Consider the following 22,479-nt stretch of genomic DNA (forward strand, 5'->3'; position numbering starts at 1 on the left):
GCTGAGAAGTGTTTTGCTTCCAATTATGTGGTTGATTTTAGAATAAGTGCTATGTGGTGCTGAGAAGAATGTATATTCTGTTGATTTGGGGTGGAGAGTTCTGTAGATGTCTCTTAGGTTCACTTGGTCTAGAGCTGGGTTCATCTGTTTTGTTGATCTGTGTAATATTGACAGTGGGGGTGTTAAAGTCTCCCACTTTTATTGTGTGGGAGTCTAATTCTCTTTTCAGGTCTCTAAGAACTTGTTTCATGAATCTGGATGCTCCTGTATTGGGTGCATATATATTTAGGATAGTTAGCTCTTCTTGTTGCATTGAGCTGTTTGCCATTATGTAATGCCCTTCTTTGTCTTTTTTGATCTTTTTTGGTTTAAAGTCTGTTTTATCAGAGACTAGGATTGCAACCCCTGCTTTTTTCTTGCTTTCCATTTGCTTGGTAAATATTCCTCCATCCCTTTATTTTGAGTCTGTGTGTGTCTTTGTATGTGAGATGGGTCTTCTGAATACAGCATACTGATGGGTCTTGACCCTTTATCCAATTTGCCAGTCTGTGTCTTTTAATTGGAGCATTTAGCCCATTTGCATTTAAGGTTAATATTGTTATGTGTGAATTTGATTCTGTCATCATGATGCTAGCTGGTTATTTTGCATATTAGTTGATGCAGTTTCTTCATAGTGTCATTGGCCTTTATATTTTGGTGTGTTTTTGCAGTGGCTGGTACTGGTTTTTCCTTTCCATATTTAGTGCTTCCTTCAGGAGCTCTTGTAAGGCAGGCCTGGTGGTGACAAAATCCCTCAGCATTTGCTTGTCTGTGAAGGATTTTATTTTTCCTTCACTTATGAAGCTTAGTTTGGCTGGATATGAAATTCTGGGTTGAAAATTGTTTTGTTTAAGAATGTTGAATATTGGCCCCCACTCTTTCCTGGTTTGTCGGATTCCTGCAGAGAGATCCGCTGTTAGTCTGATGGGCTTCCCTTTGTTGGTAACCTGACCTTTCGCTCTGGCTGCCCTTAACATTTTTCCCTTCATTTCAACCTTGGAGAATCTGACGATTATGTGTCTTGGGGTTGCTATTCTGGAGGAGTATCTTCATGCTGTTCTTTGTATTTCCTGAATTTGAATGTTGGCCTGTCTTGCTAGGTTGGGAAATTTCTCCTGGATAATATCCTCAAGAGTGTTTTCCAACTTGGTTCTATTCTGTTCATACTTCAGGTACAACAATCAGTCGTAGGTTTGGTCTTTTCACATAGTCCCATATTTCTTGGATACTTTGTTCATCCTTTTCATTCTTTTCTCTCTAATCCTGTCTTCACACCTTATTTCATTAAGTTGATCTTCAATCTCTGATATCCTTTTTTTCTGCTTGATCAATTCGGCTATTGATACCTGTTTATGTTTCATGAAGTTCTCATGTTGTGTTTTTCAGCTCCATCAAGTCATTTATGTTCTTCTCTAAACTGGTTATTCTAGTTAGCAGTTCCTGCAACATTTTATCAAGGTTCCTAGCTTGCTTGCATTGGGTTAGGACATGCTCCTTTAGCTCAGAGGCATTTGTTATTACCCATCTTCTGAAGCCTACTTTTGTCAGCTCATCAGTCTCATTCTCCATCTACTTTTGTGCCCTTGCTGGAGAGGAGTTGCGATCATTTGGAGGAGAAGAGGCATTCTAGTTTTTGGAATTTTTAGCATTTTGCATTGTTTTTTCCTCATCTTTGTGGATTTATTTACCTTTGATCTTTGAGGCTGATGACCTTTGGATGGGATTTTTTCTTTTGTGGGGGTCCTTTTTGTTGATGTTGATGTTCTTGCTTTCTGTTTGTCAGTTTTTCTTCTAACAGTCAGGCCTCTTCTGCAGATCTTCTGGAGTTTGCTGGAGGCCCACTTCAGACACAGGGGTACCATTTTAAAATCTTTTATCCTTTTTCTTCTTTCTTTTTTTTTGGAGAGGTGGAGTCTCACTACATTGCCCAGCCTGGTCTCAAATATACCATATTTTTACTGCACCTTTTCTATATTTAAATACATAAATATTTACCATTGTGTTACAATTGCCTACAGTATTCAGTACAGTCACATGCTGTACAGGTTTGTAGCCTAGAAGCAATAGGTTATACCATATAGCCCAGGTGTGTAGTAGGCTATACCATCTAGGTTTATGTAAGTACATGCTATCATGTTAACCCATGATGAAATTGCCTAATGATTCGTTTCTCAGAATATATCCTTAAGTAATGCATGTGTGTAAGAGGAAAATTTTAACACACCTTTCACAGTAAATGATACAGTGATACGTTCACAATTCTTTGGGATTTTGGCAATTTGGATGACACAGTTAACAAAATTGACCTAGTGACATCTATAGATGACCATATCCTGAGTGTAGAATATATAATCTTTTAAATCTTACATAGATTTACAAAAAGTTGACAAGTTTTGTTTCAAAGGATTGAAATAATATACTGTATGTTTTCTGATAGGTGGGAATTAGAGTTCAACAATAAATGATAAATGATAAAATAATGCAACTATTTTAAAATTCAACATGTAGAGAAATTGGGTAAGACCTCTCTTAATAAGCAGTGGATCAAAAAATCACTATAATAATTAGAAAGCATTTTGAATAAAAACAATAACACTTTCGGTTATCCTTTGTAGGTTACAACTAGAGAAATTGATGGTGTAAAATTATACATTACAAAAGAAGAAGAGCTGAAAGGTATAGTACTAAACAACCATTAACAGACATTTGAAGAAATGAATTCCAAGAATGAGAGGTAAATAATTAAACTAAGAACAAACTACAATAGAAAGCCTCAATTAGACATAGATGTAAAAGCTGTATATAAAATATTAGAAAAATCAACTCCAGAAATACATTAAAAAACATATGATCAATTGGGTTTGTGTCTATGGTGAAATTTAGATTTAGTATTAAAAATGTATTAAAGTTTGTTACCACATTAACAAATAATGTACTTAGTAGAGCACAGTAAAAAATTTGATAAAATTCAATATTCAGTGGTGATAAAAATGAGTAAACTACAATGCCATCCCCATCAAGCTACCAATGACTTTCTTCACAGAATTGGAAAAAACTAAAGTTCATATCGAACCAAAAAAGAGTCTGCATTGCCAAGTCAATACTAAGCCAAAAGAACAAAGCTGGAGGCATCACGCTACCTGACTTCAAACTATACTACAAGGCTACAGTAACCAAAACAGCATGGTATTGGTACCAAAACAGAGGTATAGATCAATGGAACAGAACAGAGCCCTCAAAAATAATGCCGCATATCTACAACTATCTGATCTTTGACAAAGCTGACAAAAACAAGCAATGGGGAAAGGATTCCCTATTTAATAAATGGTGCTGGGGAAACTGGCTAGCCATATGTAGAAAGCTGAAACTGGATCCCTTCCTTACACCTTATACAAAAATTAATTCAAGATGAATTAAAGACTTAAATGTTAGACCTAAAACCATAAAAACCCTAGAAGAAAACCTAGGCAATACCATTCAGGACATAGGCAAGGGCAAGGACTTCATGTCTAAAACACCAAAAGCAATGTCAGCAAAAGCCAAAATTGACAAATGGGATCTCATTAAACTAAAGAGCTTCTGCACAGCAAAAGAAACTACCATCAGAGTGAACAGGCAACCTACAGAATGGGAGAAAATTTTTGCAATCTACTCATCTGACAAAGGGCTAATATCCAGAATCTACAATGAACTCCAACAAATTTACAAGAAAAAACAAACAACCCCATCAAAAAGTGGGCAAAGGATATGAGCAGACACTTCTCAACAGAAGACATTTATGCAGCCAAAAGACACATGAAAAAATGCTCATCATCACTGGCCATCAGAGAAATGCAAATCAAAACCACAATGAGATACCATCTCACACCAGTTAGAATGGTGATCATTAAAAAGTCAGGAAACAACAGGTACTGGAGAGGATGTGGAGAAATAGGAACACTTTTACACCATTGGTGGGACTGTAAATTAGTTCAACCATTGTGGAAGTCAGTGTGGCAATTGCTCAGGGATCTAGAACTAGAAATACCATTTGACCCAGCCATCCCATTACTGGATATATACCCAAAGGATTATAAATCATGCTGCTATAAAGACACATGCACTTGTATGTTTATTGTGACACTATTCACAATAGCAAAGACTTGGAACCAAGCCAAACGTCCAACAATGATAGACTGTATTCAGAAAATGTGGCACATATACACCATGGAATACTATGCAGCCATAAAAAAACGATGAGTTCATGTCCTTTGTAGGGACATGGATGAAGCTGGAAAACATCATTTTGAGCAAACTATCACAAGGACAAAAAGCCAAACACCACATGTTCTCACTCATAAGTGGGAATTGAACAATGAGAACACATGGACACAGGAAGGGGAACATCACACACTGGGGACTGTTGTGGGGTGGGGGGAGGGGGGAGGGAGAGCATTAGGAGTTAAATGACGAGTTAATGTTAATGTTAATGTTAAATGACGAGTTAAATGTTAAATGACGAGTTAATGGGTGCAGCACACCAACATGGCACATGTATACATATGTAACTAACCTGCACGTTGTGCACATGTACCCTAAAACTTAAAATATAATAAAAAAATGAGTAAACTATTAACATAAAGAAATTCCCTTATTTTGATAAAGGTTCCATCAAATATACCTGGTAGTTAGAAAACATTAAAAAATTACAATAGCATATAAATAATAACTATTTTGAATAAATCTAACAGAACCTTTGTAAGAATGTAAAGGGATAATTATAATGCTTTACTCACGGACACTAAAGACGTAAATAAATGGAGGGATAATATGTTCATGATTTGGCAGTCTTGTGGGATATAGATTGATTCCAATCACAATAAAAATTGCAACCATTTTTAAAAACATTTTATCTTTATACAGCAGTTTTAGGTTCACAGCAAAATTGAGAGGAAGGTATTTCATATTTCCCCTGCCTCCACATATAATTGCCTTCCTCATTATCAACACCCCCAAACAGAGTGGTAAATATGTTACAATTGATGAACTTACATTGACATATTATTATCACTCAGAATCCACAGCTTACACTAGGGTTCACTCTTGGTGTTATACATTCTATGAGTTTAGATCAATGTATAATGACGTATATTCACCATTATAGTATAATACAGAATAGTCTCACTGTCCTAAAAGTCCTCTGTGCTCTGCCTAATTATCCCTCCTTCCACCCAACTCCTGGAAACCACTGATATTTTTATTATTCCTGTAATTTGGCCTTTTCCAGAATATCATATGGTTGGAATCATACAATATGCAGCCTTTTCAGATTGGTTTCTTTCACTAAGTAATGTGCAAATATTTTAGGTTCCTCCATGTCTCTTCATGGTATGATGATAGCTCATTTCATCTTGGCATTGAATAATATTCTATGGTCTGGATGTACCACAGTTTATCCATTCACCTATTGAAGGACATCTTGGTTGCTTCCAAGTTTTGGCAATTATGATTCAGGCTGCTATAAACATTTGTGTGCAAGTTTTTGTGTGGACATGAGTTTTCAACTTCTTTGGTTAAGTACCAGGGAGCACATTGCTGGAGCAGGCACTAAGAGTATATTTGATTTTGTAAGAAACTACCAAGCTGTCTTCCAAAGCGGCTGTACCATTTCCTATTCCCACCAGCACTGAGTGAGAACTTCTGTTGCTCTACATCCTCACCAGCAACTAACTGGTGTTGCAAGTGTTCTGGATTTTAGCCATTCTAATAGGTGTGTAGTGGTATCTCATTCTTTGAATTTGCATTTCCCTGATGACATGTGACATGCAGCATCCTCTCATATGTTTATTTGTCATCTGCATATCTTATTAGGTGAGGTGTCCAGGTATTTGGCCCATTTTTAATTGCATTGTTTGATTCTTTATTGTTAACTTTGAGTACTTTGTATATTTTGGATAACAGTTGTGGAGATAAAGCAACTACATCTTGAATGCTAATTTGCCATGTTGACTTTTGATTAACCCTGGTTCTAAGAAGGCCTCTTAAGATTTCCAGTTTATCTATTGCTCCCTAGGTAAGAGTGTGTAAATCCTGCCTTTAGGTCAAAACAACCTTCATGTCATCGTACTTCAGTTGTCCTACACATCTCTTCTGAATCATGTATTTCCCTTCCCTATGGTATACACCTCTGGATCTAGGGGAAAAAGGCATGGGATCCACCATCTGGTCTCGTTTCCACTGAGGCACAACATGGCTACATGGTTTCTAAGTCCCTATTAAATGTTTCTTTTTAAGAAACTGGATTTGTCAACCACTTTCTTCTGCCCCTTCAGCTTCCTTGGACTTTGGGGTCAGTTTGCATAGATCTGCCCACTCCAGAACAAAAGTCTTTTATCAGTTATGTCTTTTGCAAGTATTTTCTAACAGTGTATGTCTTGCCTTCTCATTCTCTTGAACGATAGGTTTTTTTTTTCTAAAACTTGGCAAGCTGGTCTTAAAATTTACATAATTGGTCAAAAAAATGGGAACACTTAAAAAAAAGAAGGAGGACTTACTGTAACAATATCAAGATAAATCTATGGTAAACAAGATATATTTGTATTGATACAGGAATAAATAAATAGATAAATGAATAAAATAGAGGCTCTGGAAATAGGCATACACACCTTGACTTATGAAAGACAGACTGCAGAACTGTGGATAAAGATGGACTTTTAAATAAATAAATTATTTCAATCCCCAGATGGCTATCCATATGGTCAAATATGCTTTTCTATTCACAAAAATCAATTCCAAGTAGATTTAAAACCTCAATATGATGAGCGAAATTATAAAGTTTTTAGAAGAGAATACTGGAAAAAATTGTCATGGATTTCAGATCAATAAAGACATTAAAAGAGACATAAAGTGCACAAACTCCAAAGGAAAAAATTAGACCATAGTAATATTTAATTATTCTGTTTATTATCATTAAATAAATATGCCATGAGGAAATTAACAAGGTTACCTACTGTATTATTTGGGCTCTCTAGAGAAATAGAATCAATATGAGATGTATATGTCTGTATAATATACCATATATATGTGAGATATATACACACACACGTATACACACACATATACAATAAGGAATTGGCTCCTGTGATTCCCAGTGTCTCAGAAGTCCCAAGATCTGCAGTCAGCAAGGTGGAGATTGAGAAGAGCTAAGGGTATCGTTCCAGTGCAAGTCCAAAGGCCTAAGAACCAGCAGAGGTGACGGTGTAAGTCCTAGTCTAAATTCAAGTCAGGAAAAGGAGAAGACCAATGTTCCAGCTGAAGACAGTCTGACAGAGAGAGTGAATGCTGCCTCTCTCAACCTTTTTATTCCATTCAGGCCTTCAACAGATTAAATGAGGCTCACCCACATTGGTGAAGGCAGTTTGCCTTACTCAGTCTACCCGTTTGAATGTTCATCTCACTGAAAAACGCCTTCACAGTCACCCCCAGAATAACGTTAAACCAAAGATCTGTGCACCTTGTGGCCCAATCAAATTGACATATAAAATTAACCATCACAGTACAGAGTGGTAGAAGATATTCACAATACACATAAACCAGGAGATTCATATTCAGAATATATAAAAGTCTTTTGCAAATTAACCTTAAAAATACAGACAACGAAATAGAAAATTTGGAAAATGATTTCACAATAGAGGGTGTCCAAATGGTCAGTAAATGTTTGAGAAGGGGCTCAACCTCATTAGTAGTTCAGGAAATTTAAAATTGAACCACAATGAGAGAATGATGGTGAGATGAAATCACAAATGTGTCACCTGTGTCAGTCTCCTGATGCTTTTTAAATCCTAGGGCTCTTGTTCCTTACAGTTTAATTAATAAGTATCACAGGTAGGTGTGTAGGACTTCACTGAGACACATCCATATACCTAGAGATGTATAATAGATTGAGTAACTTTATTTACATCATGATTTCTAATTTTAAAATAATTTTTAAGAAGTTGGTAGTCAAGTGGCCCAGACTAAAGCTATGCTAAGAAAAATGCCTCTCAAATTTAATATGCAGGTGAACTACTTGGAAATCTCATTGAAATGCAGTTTGTGATTGATACTGTAAGTCTAGAGTGAAACCTGTTATTTTGCGTCTAACAAGCTCCCAGGTTGCCTATGGCACAGGTGAAGTGTTGCAGCTACTGCCAGCTGATGGGCCATGTTTTGAGAAGATGCTAAGGGGTTTCCCTGGGCTGCCCCAGCAGAGGGTAATTGCAGACAGCTGAATGTGGCCAAAGGTTTATAAGCACTCAAGGAACCCCCAGCTCCTTGCCATTTCTTGTTTTCTATGTTGTGTCTTGGAGTCTGGAGCAATGAAGACCTCTGTGCTCTTAGGTAGGTCCTTCCTCTTTTCTTTATTGTTTTGGAATTCTTCTGGATTCAACCCAGGTATGCATAAGAAATATCTTCAGAGGTGGTGATTTAAACTGATAAGATTACTTTCTAAAACACTGCTGTGTAAAAAGCTGAGATTTTTTTTTTTCCCCCTGATTATAAACCAACAGGTAGGGCTGCCTGTTTCTATTACTCAGTTAAGAAAAAATTACTCTTTCTGGTCACATAAACTGTGCTCAGTCTTCTTTCTCTATAAGCCAATTTGAAAGTTCTCCAGTTTTAGTTTATCTTATGCCATTATCCCTCTTCTAATGTGAGACCCATGTTTCTAACATAACTGGGGCTCCTATAATTTGAAAGAACCAGGGAAAGGAAGGACTACCTTAGAGATCTCTGGGTTTCTGGGGAGGATTACAGGCTCTCTTGGCCTATCCATGGTGCTGGAGAGATAGAATGAAAATTATATAGAGAGTAAGCAGCTGAATTTGGATGAGTTCTAATTGCTTCCTCTATATACTGAAGTTTGGGAAACAGTTGAGCCCCAGCATTGTACTTGTTAGCTGCATGAACTTGGGCAAGTTACTTTTGAAGTCTCTCTAATTTTGGCTGCCAGGAAAAAATTACTAGGAATGTATAGTGTCTTAAAATAAGATGATGAGAGGCCCCGTGAAATGAAAACACTCAAATCTTAGTGCTGGAATTACCGTGAGGTAATGAGAGAATAGTTGTTTGGTTCAGTGCGCCAGAGTGATGTCGGCTGCGTCTAATGTCAGTGTGAGAGGTTTGCCAAATAAAGCAGCCTATGGACTTTCTCCTGTTTCTGTAACCATGCACTGGTTCTCTTCCACCTTTACATTAGAATACTGGTTCTCAGCGGGTGGTTTTGCCCTCCAGGGGACATTTGGCAATGTTTAGAGGGATTTTTGGCTGTCACAACAGCGTTTGTCACTCGTATCTAGTGGATAGTGGTCAAGAATGCCACTACACATTCTGCAATGTATAGCCAACAACCACAAAATCTCTTTGGTTATAATCTCAGTGAGGCTGAGTTGAGAAACCCAGCCTTGTGTTTTATTTTAGCTTAGAAGCACTTTAAGGCACATATTTGTGAGACCCCTTTTCTAAGCAAAACCAGTGCCAGACCTGAAACCAGCTGAAACCACTGCTGCGTTTCACATAATCTTGATTTCTAACAACCGAAGCTAATGACCGCCTCTTTGTACTTCTCAGAGTGAATAAGATTTGTGGGGGGCTACCCAGTATCAAATCTCAAACCTGCGATTACCTTTCTCATAATCAGACTTGGCTTCTCTGTTACACCTGAGTTTGTTTGATCTTTCTTTGAGATTTCAATGCCTTAATGTCTTTTTTGTATGTGGGTCTTTCTCTATTACCATTCCCTGAGACCAAAATTAGGGTATGTAGTTAAGGATGAAATTGAGAACTAAGTGTACTTTAGTCACATTAGACGAATCTAGGGAAACTTAGGGAGTAAAATGAGTTAAAAACCTAGTGCCTGTAGGCCGGGTGCAGTGGCTCACGCCTGTAATCTCAGCACTATGGGAAGCCGAGGCAGGCAGATCACATGAGGTCAGGAGTTCGAGACCAGCCTGACCAATATGGCGAAACCCCGTCTCTACTAAACAAAAAAATACAAAAATTAGTCGGGCATGGTGGTGCGTGCCTGTAATCCCGACTACTCAGGAGGCTGAGGCAGGAGAATCACTTGAACCTGAGAGGCAGAGGTTGCAGTGAGCTGAGATTGCGCCATTGCACTCAAGCCTGGGCGACAGAGCGAGACTCTTTCTCAGAAAAAAAATAAAAAAAAATAACCTAGTGCCTGTAATCCCAACACTTTGGGAGGCCTAGGCAAGAAGATCGCTTGAGCTCAGGAGTTCCAGACCAGACTGGGCAACGTGGTGAAACCCCATCTCTACTAAAAATACAAAAATTAGCCAGGTGTAGTGGTGCATGTGTGTCCGGAATTGGTGGGTTCTTGGTCTGACTTCAAGAATGAAGCCGCGGACCCTCGCGGTGAGTGTTACAGTTCTTAAAGGTGGCGTGTCCGGAGTTTGTTCCTTCTGATGTTCGGATGTGTTCGGCGTTTTCTTCCTTCTGGTGGGTTCGTGGTCTCGCTGGCTCAGGAGTGAAGCTGCAGATCTTCGCGGTGAGTATTAGAGCTCTTAAGGCAGCGCGTCTGGAGTTGTTTGTTCCTCCTGGTGGGTTCGTGGTCTGGCTGGCTTCGGGAGCGAAGCTGCAGACCTTCGCATGAGTGTTACAGCTCATAAAGGCAGTGTGGACCCAAACAGCTGCAGCAAGATTTATTGCAAAAAGCCAAAGAATAAAGCTTCCACAGTTTGGAAGGAGACCCCCAACGGGTTGCCAGTGCTGGTTCAGGCAGCCTGCTTTTATTCCCTTATCTGGCCCCACCCACATCCTGCTGATTGGTCCATTTTACAGAGAGCTGACTGGTCCGTTTTGACAGGGTGCTGATTGGTGCGTTTACAATCCCTGAGCTAGACACAAAAGTTCTCCACATGCCCACTAGATTAGCTAGATACAGAGTGTGGACACAAAGGTTCTCCAAGTCCCCACCAGAGTAGCTAGATACAGAGTGTGGACTGGTGCATTCACAAACGCTGAGCTAGACACAGGGTGCTGATTGGTGTGTTTACAAACCTTGAGCTAGATACAGAGTGCCGATTGGTGTATTTACAATCCCTTAGCTAGACATAAAGATTCTCCAAGTCCCTACCAGACTCAGGAGCCCAGTTGGCTTCACCCAGTGGATCCCATACCGGGGCTGCAGGTGGAGCTGCCTGCCAGTCCCATGCAGTGTGCCCGCACTCCTCAGCCCTTGGATGGTGGATGGGACTGGGCACCCTGGAGCAGGGGGCCCCCGCTTGTTGGGGAGGCTCCTGCCGCTGCAGGAGCCCACGGTGGGGGAGGAGGCTCAGGCATGGCGGGCTGCAGGTCCCCAGCCCTGCCCCGCCAGGAGGCAGATAAGGCCTAGCGAGAAGTCGAGCACAGCAGCTGCTGGTCCAGGTGCTAAGCCCCTCACTGCCCGGGTGGGGGCGGGGGCCAGCCGGCGGCTCCGAGTGTGGGGCAGCGGAGCCCACGCCCACCCAGAACTTGCGCTGGCCTGCAAGCACAGCGAGCAGCCCCGGTTCCCGCCGGCGCCTCTCCCTCCACACCTCCCCGCAAGCTGAGGGAGCTGGCTCTGGCCTTGGCCAGCCCAGAAAGGGGCTCCCACAGTGCAGCGGCGGGCTAAAGGGCTCCTCAAGCGGCCAGAGTGGGCGCCAAGGCCGAGGAGGCGTGGAGAGCGAGCGAGGGCTGTGAGGGCTGCCAGCACGCTGTCACCTCTCACATGCTTGTAGTTCCAGCTACTCCAGAGGCTGAGGCAGAAGAATCACTTGAACCCAGGAGGTGGAGGTTGCAGTGAGCTGAGATCTCACCACTGCACTCCAGCTTGGACGACAGAGGGAGACTCCATCTTTCAAAACAAAACCTAGCTCCTGCTCCCAGAGTACTACCAATCTATTTTTTATGGCATTTTTGTAACTGTGGTCTAGCCATAATGCTTGGCACACACAACGTCTTCCATCCTTGCACTGGAAAGTATTAGTTATATAAAAATTGAATGAATGGCTATGTGAAAGAAATCTGGCCTCTCATCTATCCTTCTCTTCACATGTTTTTACCTGCTTTTATTATATTCAGTGGTCATCTTGCAGCTCTGAATGTTGGTACCTCTTAGACCAGTTCTCAAACTTTGTATATGTAAGTCATCTTGTTATTAAAATGCAAACCGAGTCAATAGGTTAGAGATGAGATCTGGAACTCAGTATTTCTAATGAGTTCTAAGGTGATGTTGATGTTACTGATTTGTGGACCAGACTTTGATTAGTAAGGCTATAAACAAATTACTCACCAACTAGCATTATTAATAGAGAATAGAGAATTCTCTGTGAATAGAGAATAATTAACTGAAACCTGAGTCAGGCACTTACTGTTATTCTAATTCTCACTTTTTCACTCCTACCTCTCCTAAGACACAGATGTTCAGTGGACAAAGAAGACACTGTTTAGATTGCAGCAATGACTGAGTTGACTACTGATGGCCTAGATCACTGTCTGATTGGTATTAGGGCCAGCCACGTTATGTACCGGACTTAAGATTCTTCAAGTAATTTAATGGTTTGAGCATTTAATTTCTTATCTGGAAAATGAAGACATTATCTGTCCTATCTCAGGTTTTCTTTGTTAGACTCAATAACAAGAACATAGGCCGGGTGCCATGGCTCACGCCTGTAATCCCAGCACTTTGGGAGGCTAAGGTGGGGGTGGATCACCTGAGGTCAGGAGTTTGAGACCAGCCTGGCCAGCCTGGCGAAACCCTGTCTCTGCTAAAAATACAAAAAGTAGCTGGGTGTGGTGGCACATGCCTGTAGTCCTAGCTACTCAGGAGGCTGAGACAGGAGAATCACTTGAACCCAGGAGGTGGAGGTTGCAGTGAGCCAAGATCCTGCCACTGCACTCCAGCCTGGGTGACAAAGCAAGACTCTATCTCCAAAAAAAAAAAAAAAAAAAAAAGAATGTGGTGAAATTTGACCTAGGAATTGGTACATAAACAGCAGAACTTCTTATTTAATGTGACAATAAATGTGGGAATCCCCATGGGAACAGGCTTGTGGTCTAACATATTAACCCCTCAATGACAGCCTGGCCCTGCAAGCTTTGCTTTTTAAGATAAATATATCTATCCTTGGGATACAAACAGAAAATACATAGGCTACAGCTCCTTTCTTAGTCTGAATAAAAGGAGGGACTTGATAGTAATTACAATTCCCGTTTCGACATGGACCAAGAAGGACATTGTACCATAGTCCTGCTGCTATGAGGTAAGTGGATTGCAGATTTTTTTTCATCCTCACCCTAAACTTCACTTCTGCAGCTGTCATCACTGTATTTACTATCAGTATCTATCAACTTTCTTATATGAATAACTTATGCTATTAATCTCTCTAGGAAAATGGTTTCTCAAAATTCTAAATGCTGAGTTCCATGTTGTACTTGCGTCTCTGTTCTTCTAGCTGTCCCAAAAAGCATGTATCAAGTTGGTAACCTCAGGTTTCTAGGCCAAATAAGGCTCATTCTAAGCCAAACATTTTACGGAAGACAGAGTTCTGTAGATCCTTGGATACTGCCAACTGTCCTGGGATTAAAACCTGGGTCAATGTCTTCTGTGGTTGGACTAGTCACTTATTTAATTAAAATTCATACTGAAGACCAAATACATGCCATATGGGGATAAAGAGATGAAGATGTGGTTTTTTTTTTTTCCCCTAGGGGTGGGGAGAGATAATAGTAAAATGTGAAATGTCACTGTGTGCCTGATATTGTAAAAATGTTCCTAGGATATAGCCACAGCTTCTTCAGGTTAATATGAGAAGATTGGACTCTGAAACCTAATCTTTTATATAGTATTAAATTCTGATCAGGTTTAGTTTAATTGATACTGAGGATGGATGGATGGAGATCTATCTCTATGGAAGGAATTGGTGGTGGTAGTGTCTTATATAAAGACCATTAAATTGTTTTTACCTTAATAAACATTAATTGAGCATTTAAGTTCTAGGCAGTGTTCCAAGATCTTTTATATGCCTTATTTCATTTAATCATCACAGAACCCTAAAAGGTAGATAATAATGACTACGTTCACTCTAAATATGAATAAATGGTTGCAAAGAAATTAAATAACCAACTAACCTCTCTGTGGATTTTTGCAGCTGTGTAAAGTACAGAGTAGCACAGCAGCCACCGCCCTCAAGGGGCTTTTGAGCACATGAAGTGTGGCCAATTTGAATTGTGCTACAAATACAAAACACACATCAGTTCCAGAAAATTAGTATAAGAAATCTAATCTCAATTTTTGTTTTGTTACATGTTAATGATCATATTTGGGATATATTAGCTTAGATGAAATATATTTTAAACTATACCTGCTTTTTTAAATTTTAATTTTAATGTCTTTTTTTGAGATGGGGGTCTCACTCTGTTGCCCAGGCTGGAGTGCAGTGGCATGGTCTCGACTCACTGCAGCCTCTGCCTCCTGGGCTCAAGCAATTCTCCCACCTCAGTCTCCCAAGTAGCTGGGATTACAGGGGCACGCCACCATGCTTGGATAATTTTTGCATTTTTAGTAGAGATGGGTTTCACCATGTTGGCCAGGCTGGTCTTGAACTCCTGACCTCAGGTGATCCACCTGCCTCGGCCTCCCAGAATGCTGGGATTACAGGCATGAGCCACTGTGCCTGGCCTATACCTGCTTATTTTTGAACATGGCTAATAGGAGACTGAACGCTACCCATGTAGCTTGTGTTATATTTGTCTGTCAGCACTGATAGTGTAATGTCTTGGGAGGAAGTATACTACCATATTACTTTTTGGATTTTTTTTCTTTTAGCAATAACTGCAATGTGCTCTGATGATTGGTTGTTAGTCAGAATGAAAATAAGGCCTTTTGATAAGAACACAGACATTAGAATTGGCGACATACACCTGAGAGATAACTGTCCTGTAACAAGACTGTTGTCATTTAACTACGCGTTTTCTTATCCTGTCACTTCTTGTGGGATCAAGAAAATTGTAAGTGCCATGATGCTTTTCCCTAAAACATATACTGAATTTTTTTTTCAGGGCTACATAGTATCAAAAGTTCCTTCCTAATTAAAATTTTCAAGCATCTTCCTATCTCTTGCAGTGATCAATTGTTAGATAGGACCAGGTGCTTATCTACTTAATTGGGACATTTCAGATAAGGGACTTTAAAAAGGTCATAAGGGGCTGGGCATGGTGGCTCACACCTGTAATCCCACCACTTTGGGAGGCTGGGGTGGGTGGATCACCTGAAGTCAGGAGTTTGAGACCAACCTGGTCAACATGGTTAAACCCAGTCTCTGCTAAAAATACCAAATTTAGCTGGGTGTGGTGGTGGGTACCTGTAATCCCAGCTATTTGGGAGGCTGAGGCAGGAGAATCACTTGAACCTGGGAGGCAGAGGTTGTAGTGAGCTGAGATGGCACTATTGCACTCCAGCCTGGGTGATAAGTGAAACTCTGTCTCAAAGTCATAAGGTACGGTCTGTGCCTTCTCAGTTTTACTACCTCCATCTGCTGTCAGATTTTAATAGCTGGGAACATTGTTTATGAATATATGCAATTGTACTACTTTGGAAAAAGCACATATACTTTAAAACAGACCCAGAGACAATTTTCTCCTATCCCCCATCTGGTATTAGAGATGGGGGCAAAGAAGTTGAAGGACCAGGAGAAAAAGGAGAATAAAGTATTTCTCATGAGGTCTACTATTTTATATCTGTTAAATTAATGTAAAATGCCATTTCCGGATTTTCCTAAAGCAGATTCTATTAAGATCATTAAGCCACCAAAAGAATTTAATGCCTTCTAGTATTAAAACTCTCAATTGTTTCAGATGTTCCAAACAAATGATGACGCCATATTATCAGAGATCAGTTACAAACCAAGGTTGCATACTACCTATGAATTTCCAGTGGTTTGCTTTGTGAAGAGGTATGAGTAGCTACTTCTCTTACACATTCTTAAATTTATTATTTGGTTGATAGATGTTTCTGTTAAGAATGCAGCTATAAAAATGCCCTGGAGGGATGTGTATGGCATAAATTTCTAAAGTTTCTCTAACTCTAAGGAAAATGTTCAAATGTACAGAATTGAAGGAATTTATATATAGTACCTAGATTCTACCATTTTGCTAAACTTTGTTACACAATCATTTCCCCATCTATCAATTTTGATGCACTTCCAATTGAAGACATGAGTACACTTTTCCCTAAGTGCTTCAGCATGCGTATCATGAATCAAGGATCAATAATTTACTTGAAGAAGAACTCACATGCAATTAATATATAAATGTTACACAAGTTAATGCATTTGTCAACTGAGCTTTATGTTTAACATAAAACCCTATTGACATGAGTAAGACTGATTGCTGCAGAAAGTGGATCTTCCCAGTTGGTTCCTGCAGCCACACCTCACTGTTCTTGTCTCTTCTATAACTTTGTAGAAATAGAATCGCAGCATGTATGCTTTTGTGTCTAGCTTATTTCTTTCAGCAGAATGTTTGAAACTCGTTTATGTTGTATATTCCAGTAGCTTGTTTCTTTATATTGCCGAGTGGTATATTTCATTAGATACGTATTATTTGATGAAGACTTGTGCTGTTTTCAGTCTCTGGCTATTATGAATAAATATGCTATCACCATATGTTTGCATATCTTTGGGTGTATGTTTTTGTTTCCTTTAAATACCTAAGAATGGGACTGCTTGATCATAGAGTATGTTTAGTTTTGTAAGAAATGATGAATATTTTCCCAAAATAAGGTGTCCTTTTTGGCACTAATACGAGGAATGTATGGGAGTCCAGTGGTTTCACCCTCTGATGTCAGTTTTTTATTCTAACCATCTGAATAGGTGCATAGTCATATTTAATTTGCATTTTCTGATAACTAATTATTAGTGCTCATTGGCCATTTTTATGTCTCTTGTGAGCCATGTCTTTTGTTCATTTTTACTCTGCATCATCTGTCTTGAGTTGTAAGTGGTCTTCATATCTTAAAGACCAGGACTTTGTCAGATGTATTTCGCCCCAGTCCCCACATTGCTTATTAATTTTCTTAATGTGTTTTTTGATGAGCAGACGTCTTTAATTTTGGAGTTTAATTTATAGACTCTTCCTTCTAGTTATTGCTTTCTGTTCTGTCGTAAAATTCCTTGCTATTGCCAAGTGTTATTTTCTTCTAGAAGTTTTATGGTTTTGAATATATTTGGGTTTATAATCCATCTGAACTTAATTTTTGCATGTAGTGTAAGAAAGGTCAAGATTCTTCCCTCTCCATAGGGACATCCTGTTGATACAGTACCATTAACTGAAATGAAATTTCTTTCATCCTTGAATTGCTCTGACTCTTTCGTTATATCAATGACCTTATAAGCTTGGATTTCTCTGGGCTCTTATTTATGTCTTAATGATCTATTTGATCTTTATCTTGACTACCTAAGTTCATTTGCAACTTAGCAATGCCATTTTCAGCTGTTCAGGATGATTTCAAACAAATTCTCACTATATCCTTATACTTCTTGAAGGGTGGAAAAGGTCAGACAAAATTAAGGCACCCTGCAAGGAATGACTTGAAATCAGCTTTTAAAAGGAACCTCTGTTCTTCAAACTTCGCCAGTCATCTCTAAACCTTTGCTGTCTAACATAGTAACCAGTAGCCACTGGTAATATTACATGTAAATTACTAAAATTAAAACAACAAAAAATTGAGTTGCACGAGCTATTTTTTCAAGTGCTCAGTAGCAGCATGTGGTTAGTGGTAACATTTGCACAGTGTAGACTTAGATTTTTCTGTAATAAAGATTTACTAATCGACAGTGTTGCTACATCAGGATAAACACAATTGTTAACCAGACAGTAGCTAAATATCATAAACATTCATGTTGATCTTAAAGTGGTTCTAACCTTTATTTTTAATTTTCTAAATTTTAACTCTTATTTTAGATCCAGGGAGTACATATATAGGTTTGTTACATAAGTACATTGCATGATTCTGAGGTTTGAGATACTATTGACCCTGCTATCCAGGTACTGGGCATAGTCCCCAGTAGGTAATTTTCTCATTTTCCCCACTCCCGCCCCCACATTCCTTTTCCTCACTGTCACGGAAGGAAAGATTTAACAGTGGGAATGAACACTACAGCTCCTAAAGTAGGATGGTGAAGGGTTGAAATGATAGCCAAAGGTGGTGGAATCTAACTGCTTTTTAGCCTTGGAATGGGGTGTCTCCCTCTCTTGCCTGGCTAAGATTTTGGTGGTAGTCTTTGGTTTTTTAAAGAACATGCTTCCCTGACCATGAGGAATTTTTACAAATTGGTATGAGTCCCCCATACTTCCTGGAACGGGGTAGAAAATGTACCTCTGTTGTATCCTCTTTTAATCTGAGAAAATATGTTTGTTCTTCCAGCCCCCAATGTCTTCTCAACCTCTGTCTATAATATTAGCTGCTATATTGTTATAGGCACCTCCTATCCTCTTCCACTTTATTGACCCAGGGGTTAGCACCTGACTTGGACAATGCCAATTAGTTTTTCAAACAGCCTTTGTAAACTTGTCAGCCTCTAAGCAGGTAAAGGCTATGATATTAAAAAAAAAAAAAAAAAAAAAAAAAGATGATCCCAGCACTTTGGGAGGCCAAGGCAGGCAGATCACTTGAGGCTAGGAGTTCGAAACCAGCCTAACCAATGTGGTGGAACTCTGTCTCTACTAAAAATACAAAAATTAGCCAGGCCTGGTGGCACATGCCCATAATCTCAGTTACTTGGGAGGCTGAGGCAGGAGAATCGCTTGAACCTGGGAGGTGGAGGTTGCAGTGAGCTGAGATAGCGCCACTGCACTCCAGCCTGGGTGACAGAGTGAGATTGTCTTTAAAAAAAAAAGCCGTTAGTCTCCTCCTTTTGGATCATGGAAAGAAGTGGTACTTATGGCAATGGAGTCAAGGCAATGAGCATATAAATGTGGTGATAAGTTACATGTCATTTAAATTCCTACTTCTGATTCCTGAGATCTAGTTGCCTTTTTGCAGTTGATATTGTCATATTCACCTTTTAATTATCAGATAGTCTAAACTTGCAGAAAGTAGTTTCGTAGTCACTGTTTTTTTTTTCTTTTTTTGAGACGGCGTCTCACTCTGTTGCCCAGGCGGGAGTGCAGTGGTGCGATCTCAGCTCACTTCAACCACCGCTTCCTGGGTTCAAGCGATTCTCCTGCCTCAGCCTCCAGAGTAGCTGGGATTACAGGCATACCCCACCATGCCAGACTAATTTTTATATTTTTAGTAGAGATGAGGTTTCACCATGTTGGCCAGGCTCGTCTCGAACTCCTGACCTCAAGTGATCCACCTGCCTCGGCCTCCCAAAGTGGTAGGATTACAGGAATGAGCCACTGCACCTGGCGTGTAATCACTGCTTTTATGCAATGTAAATTTTTCCTCAATGTTTGACATCATCTTGAAGTTCATTTTCTGGTTATTAGACTTGTGAAGCCTAGTGGAATACAACTTAATACTAGATTTTCATACTTAGTTTTCTTCCTTCCCTTCTTTCCAGTTCCAGCTACGCTGGGGTTTGAGTTTTGGAGTATATTCTTAAATGTGATCTTTCTGTGGTTTTAAAATCTATTCTCTTCCCCTACTTTTCCTGTGTTTGCTGGGATAGAGTAATGGTATTAAGACATGAAAAGAGAAAATATCTCTTTGCTGAAATTGTTGTAGGGGTCTTTTGGCCAACACTGAGCATAGATGCCTTCTCCACGGTGGGTCCAAATGCCGGTCTTCCTCACTTAATGACTTTTTGAGTGGGTCTATCATGAACATCAGATTTGATCCTTGGATTTCTCACTTGGTGCTGGCCGTCTTAAGGGGAATCTTAGCAGATGGGATTGAACTATATTGCCGTCTATATAGGCATCCACTGAGCTCTCAAAAAAAAATGGTTTCAATAGCAGATTATAGAAGTAAAGGCTATTATGCCTTATCTATTCGCAGTCCATTTTTCTCCCAGATCAAATAGGCCAGGACATATTAGCCCTTCTAAATTCAACAAGAGATATAGAAAATTTGAATGAGATTTTAGCCTCCCTTTACACATGTACTCTGAATCTGAATCATTCTCCTGGAACTGCCTACATGCTGGCTTTGAGAGACGAGCAAACCACATTCCTTTTTCTTACATGCAGGGAAGGAAAGAGCAGCAGTGGGAATAAACACTACAACTCCTAAGATAGGATGGGGAAGGGTTGAGATGGTAGTTAAAGGTGGTGAAATCCTTTTTAACCTTGGAATGGGGTGTGTCTATGTCTCTATTTCCTGCCTAAGATTTTGGTGGTAGCATCTTTTTGCATACATATGGGTCTCTGTTTTCAATTTCTAATCTTGGGATGTGTGTGTGTGGCCTGGCTTGGTTGAGTCATAGTCCATTCAGCATAGATAGAATGTTTGTCACATCTAACAATCATTTTGCTCTTCAAAACTTTTATTGACCCCGGAGCCTCAAAGTCAAGTCAAGGATCAATTCTGGATCAATAAGTACCATCCTATTCAAGGTTCTGTTACAAACTCTTTATTTAGATTTACTGAGCTACTTTGCCTTTCCTCCACAAGTCAGTTATTTTGGGTTATCACTTATAACGAACCTATCTAATACATATTTTTCCCACAAAAAATCTGTACAGCTATTAATCCTGTGCTTTTCTTTTGTTTGCTCTGCATTTAGGCTTAAATTCCCCTCTGTGATGCATTTTGGAATGAGTGGGTTTGATGCCCACACCTTGAAAGAAATCCCTCAAAAAACAAAAGGACAAGAGTCACCAACTCCCACACAAAGTAAAACATGGACACTTAATTTTAACAGTGTTAATAAGGTGAGAATATTAAGGTTGTTTATTTTATAGTTAACCACAATTTGTTAAATATAACTTCAAGGAAGGCAATGATGTAAATTCCTATTTGAATGCTGCATGCTGAAATTGCTCTGGTTTTAATATGAACCCTGTAGAATTAGGTACCGTAGTCTGTACTTGGATATAGTTATCATTTTCTTGTTGCAGATGAACATGAATAGGTTCCATACTGGTCAGTTTCCTTACCTATTCTCTCAGGTACTAAACTGTTCATTTTCAATATAGCCTGTGACAAAATGAAATTGTTGTCATAGAAGGCCCATACCAGATCTCTAATTTCATACTAATATTTGTAGAAAAACATGTCTATATACATATATGTGTATAAAATAAGTAGGCAGATAGGTAAACTAGGCTTAAATTCAGAGGAAGTCACTACATCTAATTCGCACTTTTCCTAAGATTAATACCTGTAGAAAACACTCTTTTTAATCAGGATTTTTCTACTGAGCTTATTTTAAAAGGATGTCAGAAAACTTGTGCATATTGACAATAGCCTTGAAGTTGACATTTCATAAAGAAATAAGCTTTGTTCTAGAGATCTGAAAACCACTTAAAATCAAAGTTGAAATGTATGATGTAATTACTTGATAGTCTCAGAAAGGCAGTCATCTAGCCAACACATAGATGCTAATCACTTCTAATAGCATAATATCTAATGGTTATATTTGATATAGCTGGTTAGTTCCATAGATTACATTTTAGGGTAGAAATGTGATTTTTTTTTCCACATTACTTCTAATTGAGCACCCATGAGTTCTCTGAACGTGTTTTCTTTTTAGGTAAGGTTATATTTAAGCAGCTCTTAACTGCTTTTCCCCCCTATCCTACAGGAGCAACTATCCAAGAAGTCACTGTATCAATAATGCCTGTGTTATAACACCCTCTCCTCCCTAAAGCAAGGGAACAAGTGATACATCTTGTCTGAAAACCAGTTTCATCAATACTGTTGATGTGTCTGTACAAAGATGAGTAGCAACATCTGTTACCAGTTTCACTACATTTTGGAGTTTTGAATAACATATCTATACCATGATATTTATACTTTTTAATGAGTTAATTTTAAGTGAAATTGCCATTCTAACTCTGAAATCAAGCTCATACATAATAAAGCTTGCCCATACCCAGTGTGTTCTTTTCTGAATTAACATTCAGCATTTTTATGATTTAGTTGCTCACTTTAGTTTTACCCATTATTCTTCGTAACCGTGTCTTAGTGAAATATATTGAAGTCTCCCTCTTTTATAATGCACTCAAAAGGAGGATTTTCCCATGAGCCCTTCATCTGTGGCTTTCTATACTGCTTTTTTCTTTTCTGTTTCCTGATAATGTCTCATGAGGAAACATTGTAAACTTATTTTGACATTGTGCATTTCTTTTCTATTACCTTGATAAAGCAAGAATCTAGAAGAAAATATTTCAGTTGCTTTTTGGCCTAATTCTGAAAGTGTTGTAACCATACAGGGCCACAACTACACTGTCACACCACCCTTCCCACCATCAGTGCTTTGGTGGAGATTTTCTTAG

General features: G+C 39.2%; 1 protein-coding gene across 1 annotated transcript; it reads left to right on the forward strand.

Annotated features, from left to right (window-relative positions):
• Positions 1 to 8,164: 8,164 nt before the first annotated feature.
• OOSP4B (oocyte secreted protein family member 4B) lies at positions 8,165 to 22,079 on the forward strand. Its single transcript, NM_001395278.3, has 5 exons — positions 8,165 to 8,397; positions 14,864 to 15,045; positions 15,892 to 15,989; positions 20,766 to 20,913; positions 21,786 to 22,079. The coding sequence occupies exons 1-5, from the start codon at positions 8,376 to 8,378 to the stop codon at positions 21,816 to 21,818; spliced, it is 483 nt and encodes a 160-aa protein (NP_001382207.2). The 5' UTR covers positions 8,165 to 8,375; the 3' UTR covers positions 21,819 to 22,079.
• The last annotated feature ends 400 nt before the right edge of the window (positions 22,080 to 22,479 follow it).

This window comes from Homo sapiens, chromosome 11 (genome assembly GCF_000001405.40).
Source record: "Homo sapiens chromosome 11, GRCh38.p14 Primary Assembly".
NCBI classification, from domain to species: Eukaryota; Metazoa; Chordata; class Mammalia; order Primates; family Hominidae; genus Homo; species Homo sapiens.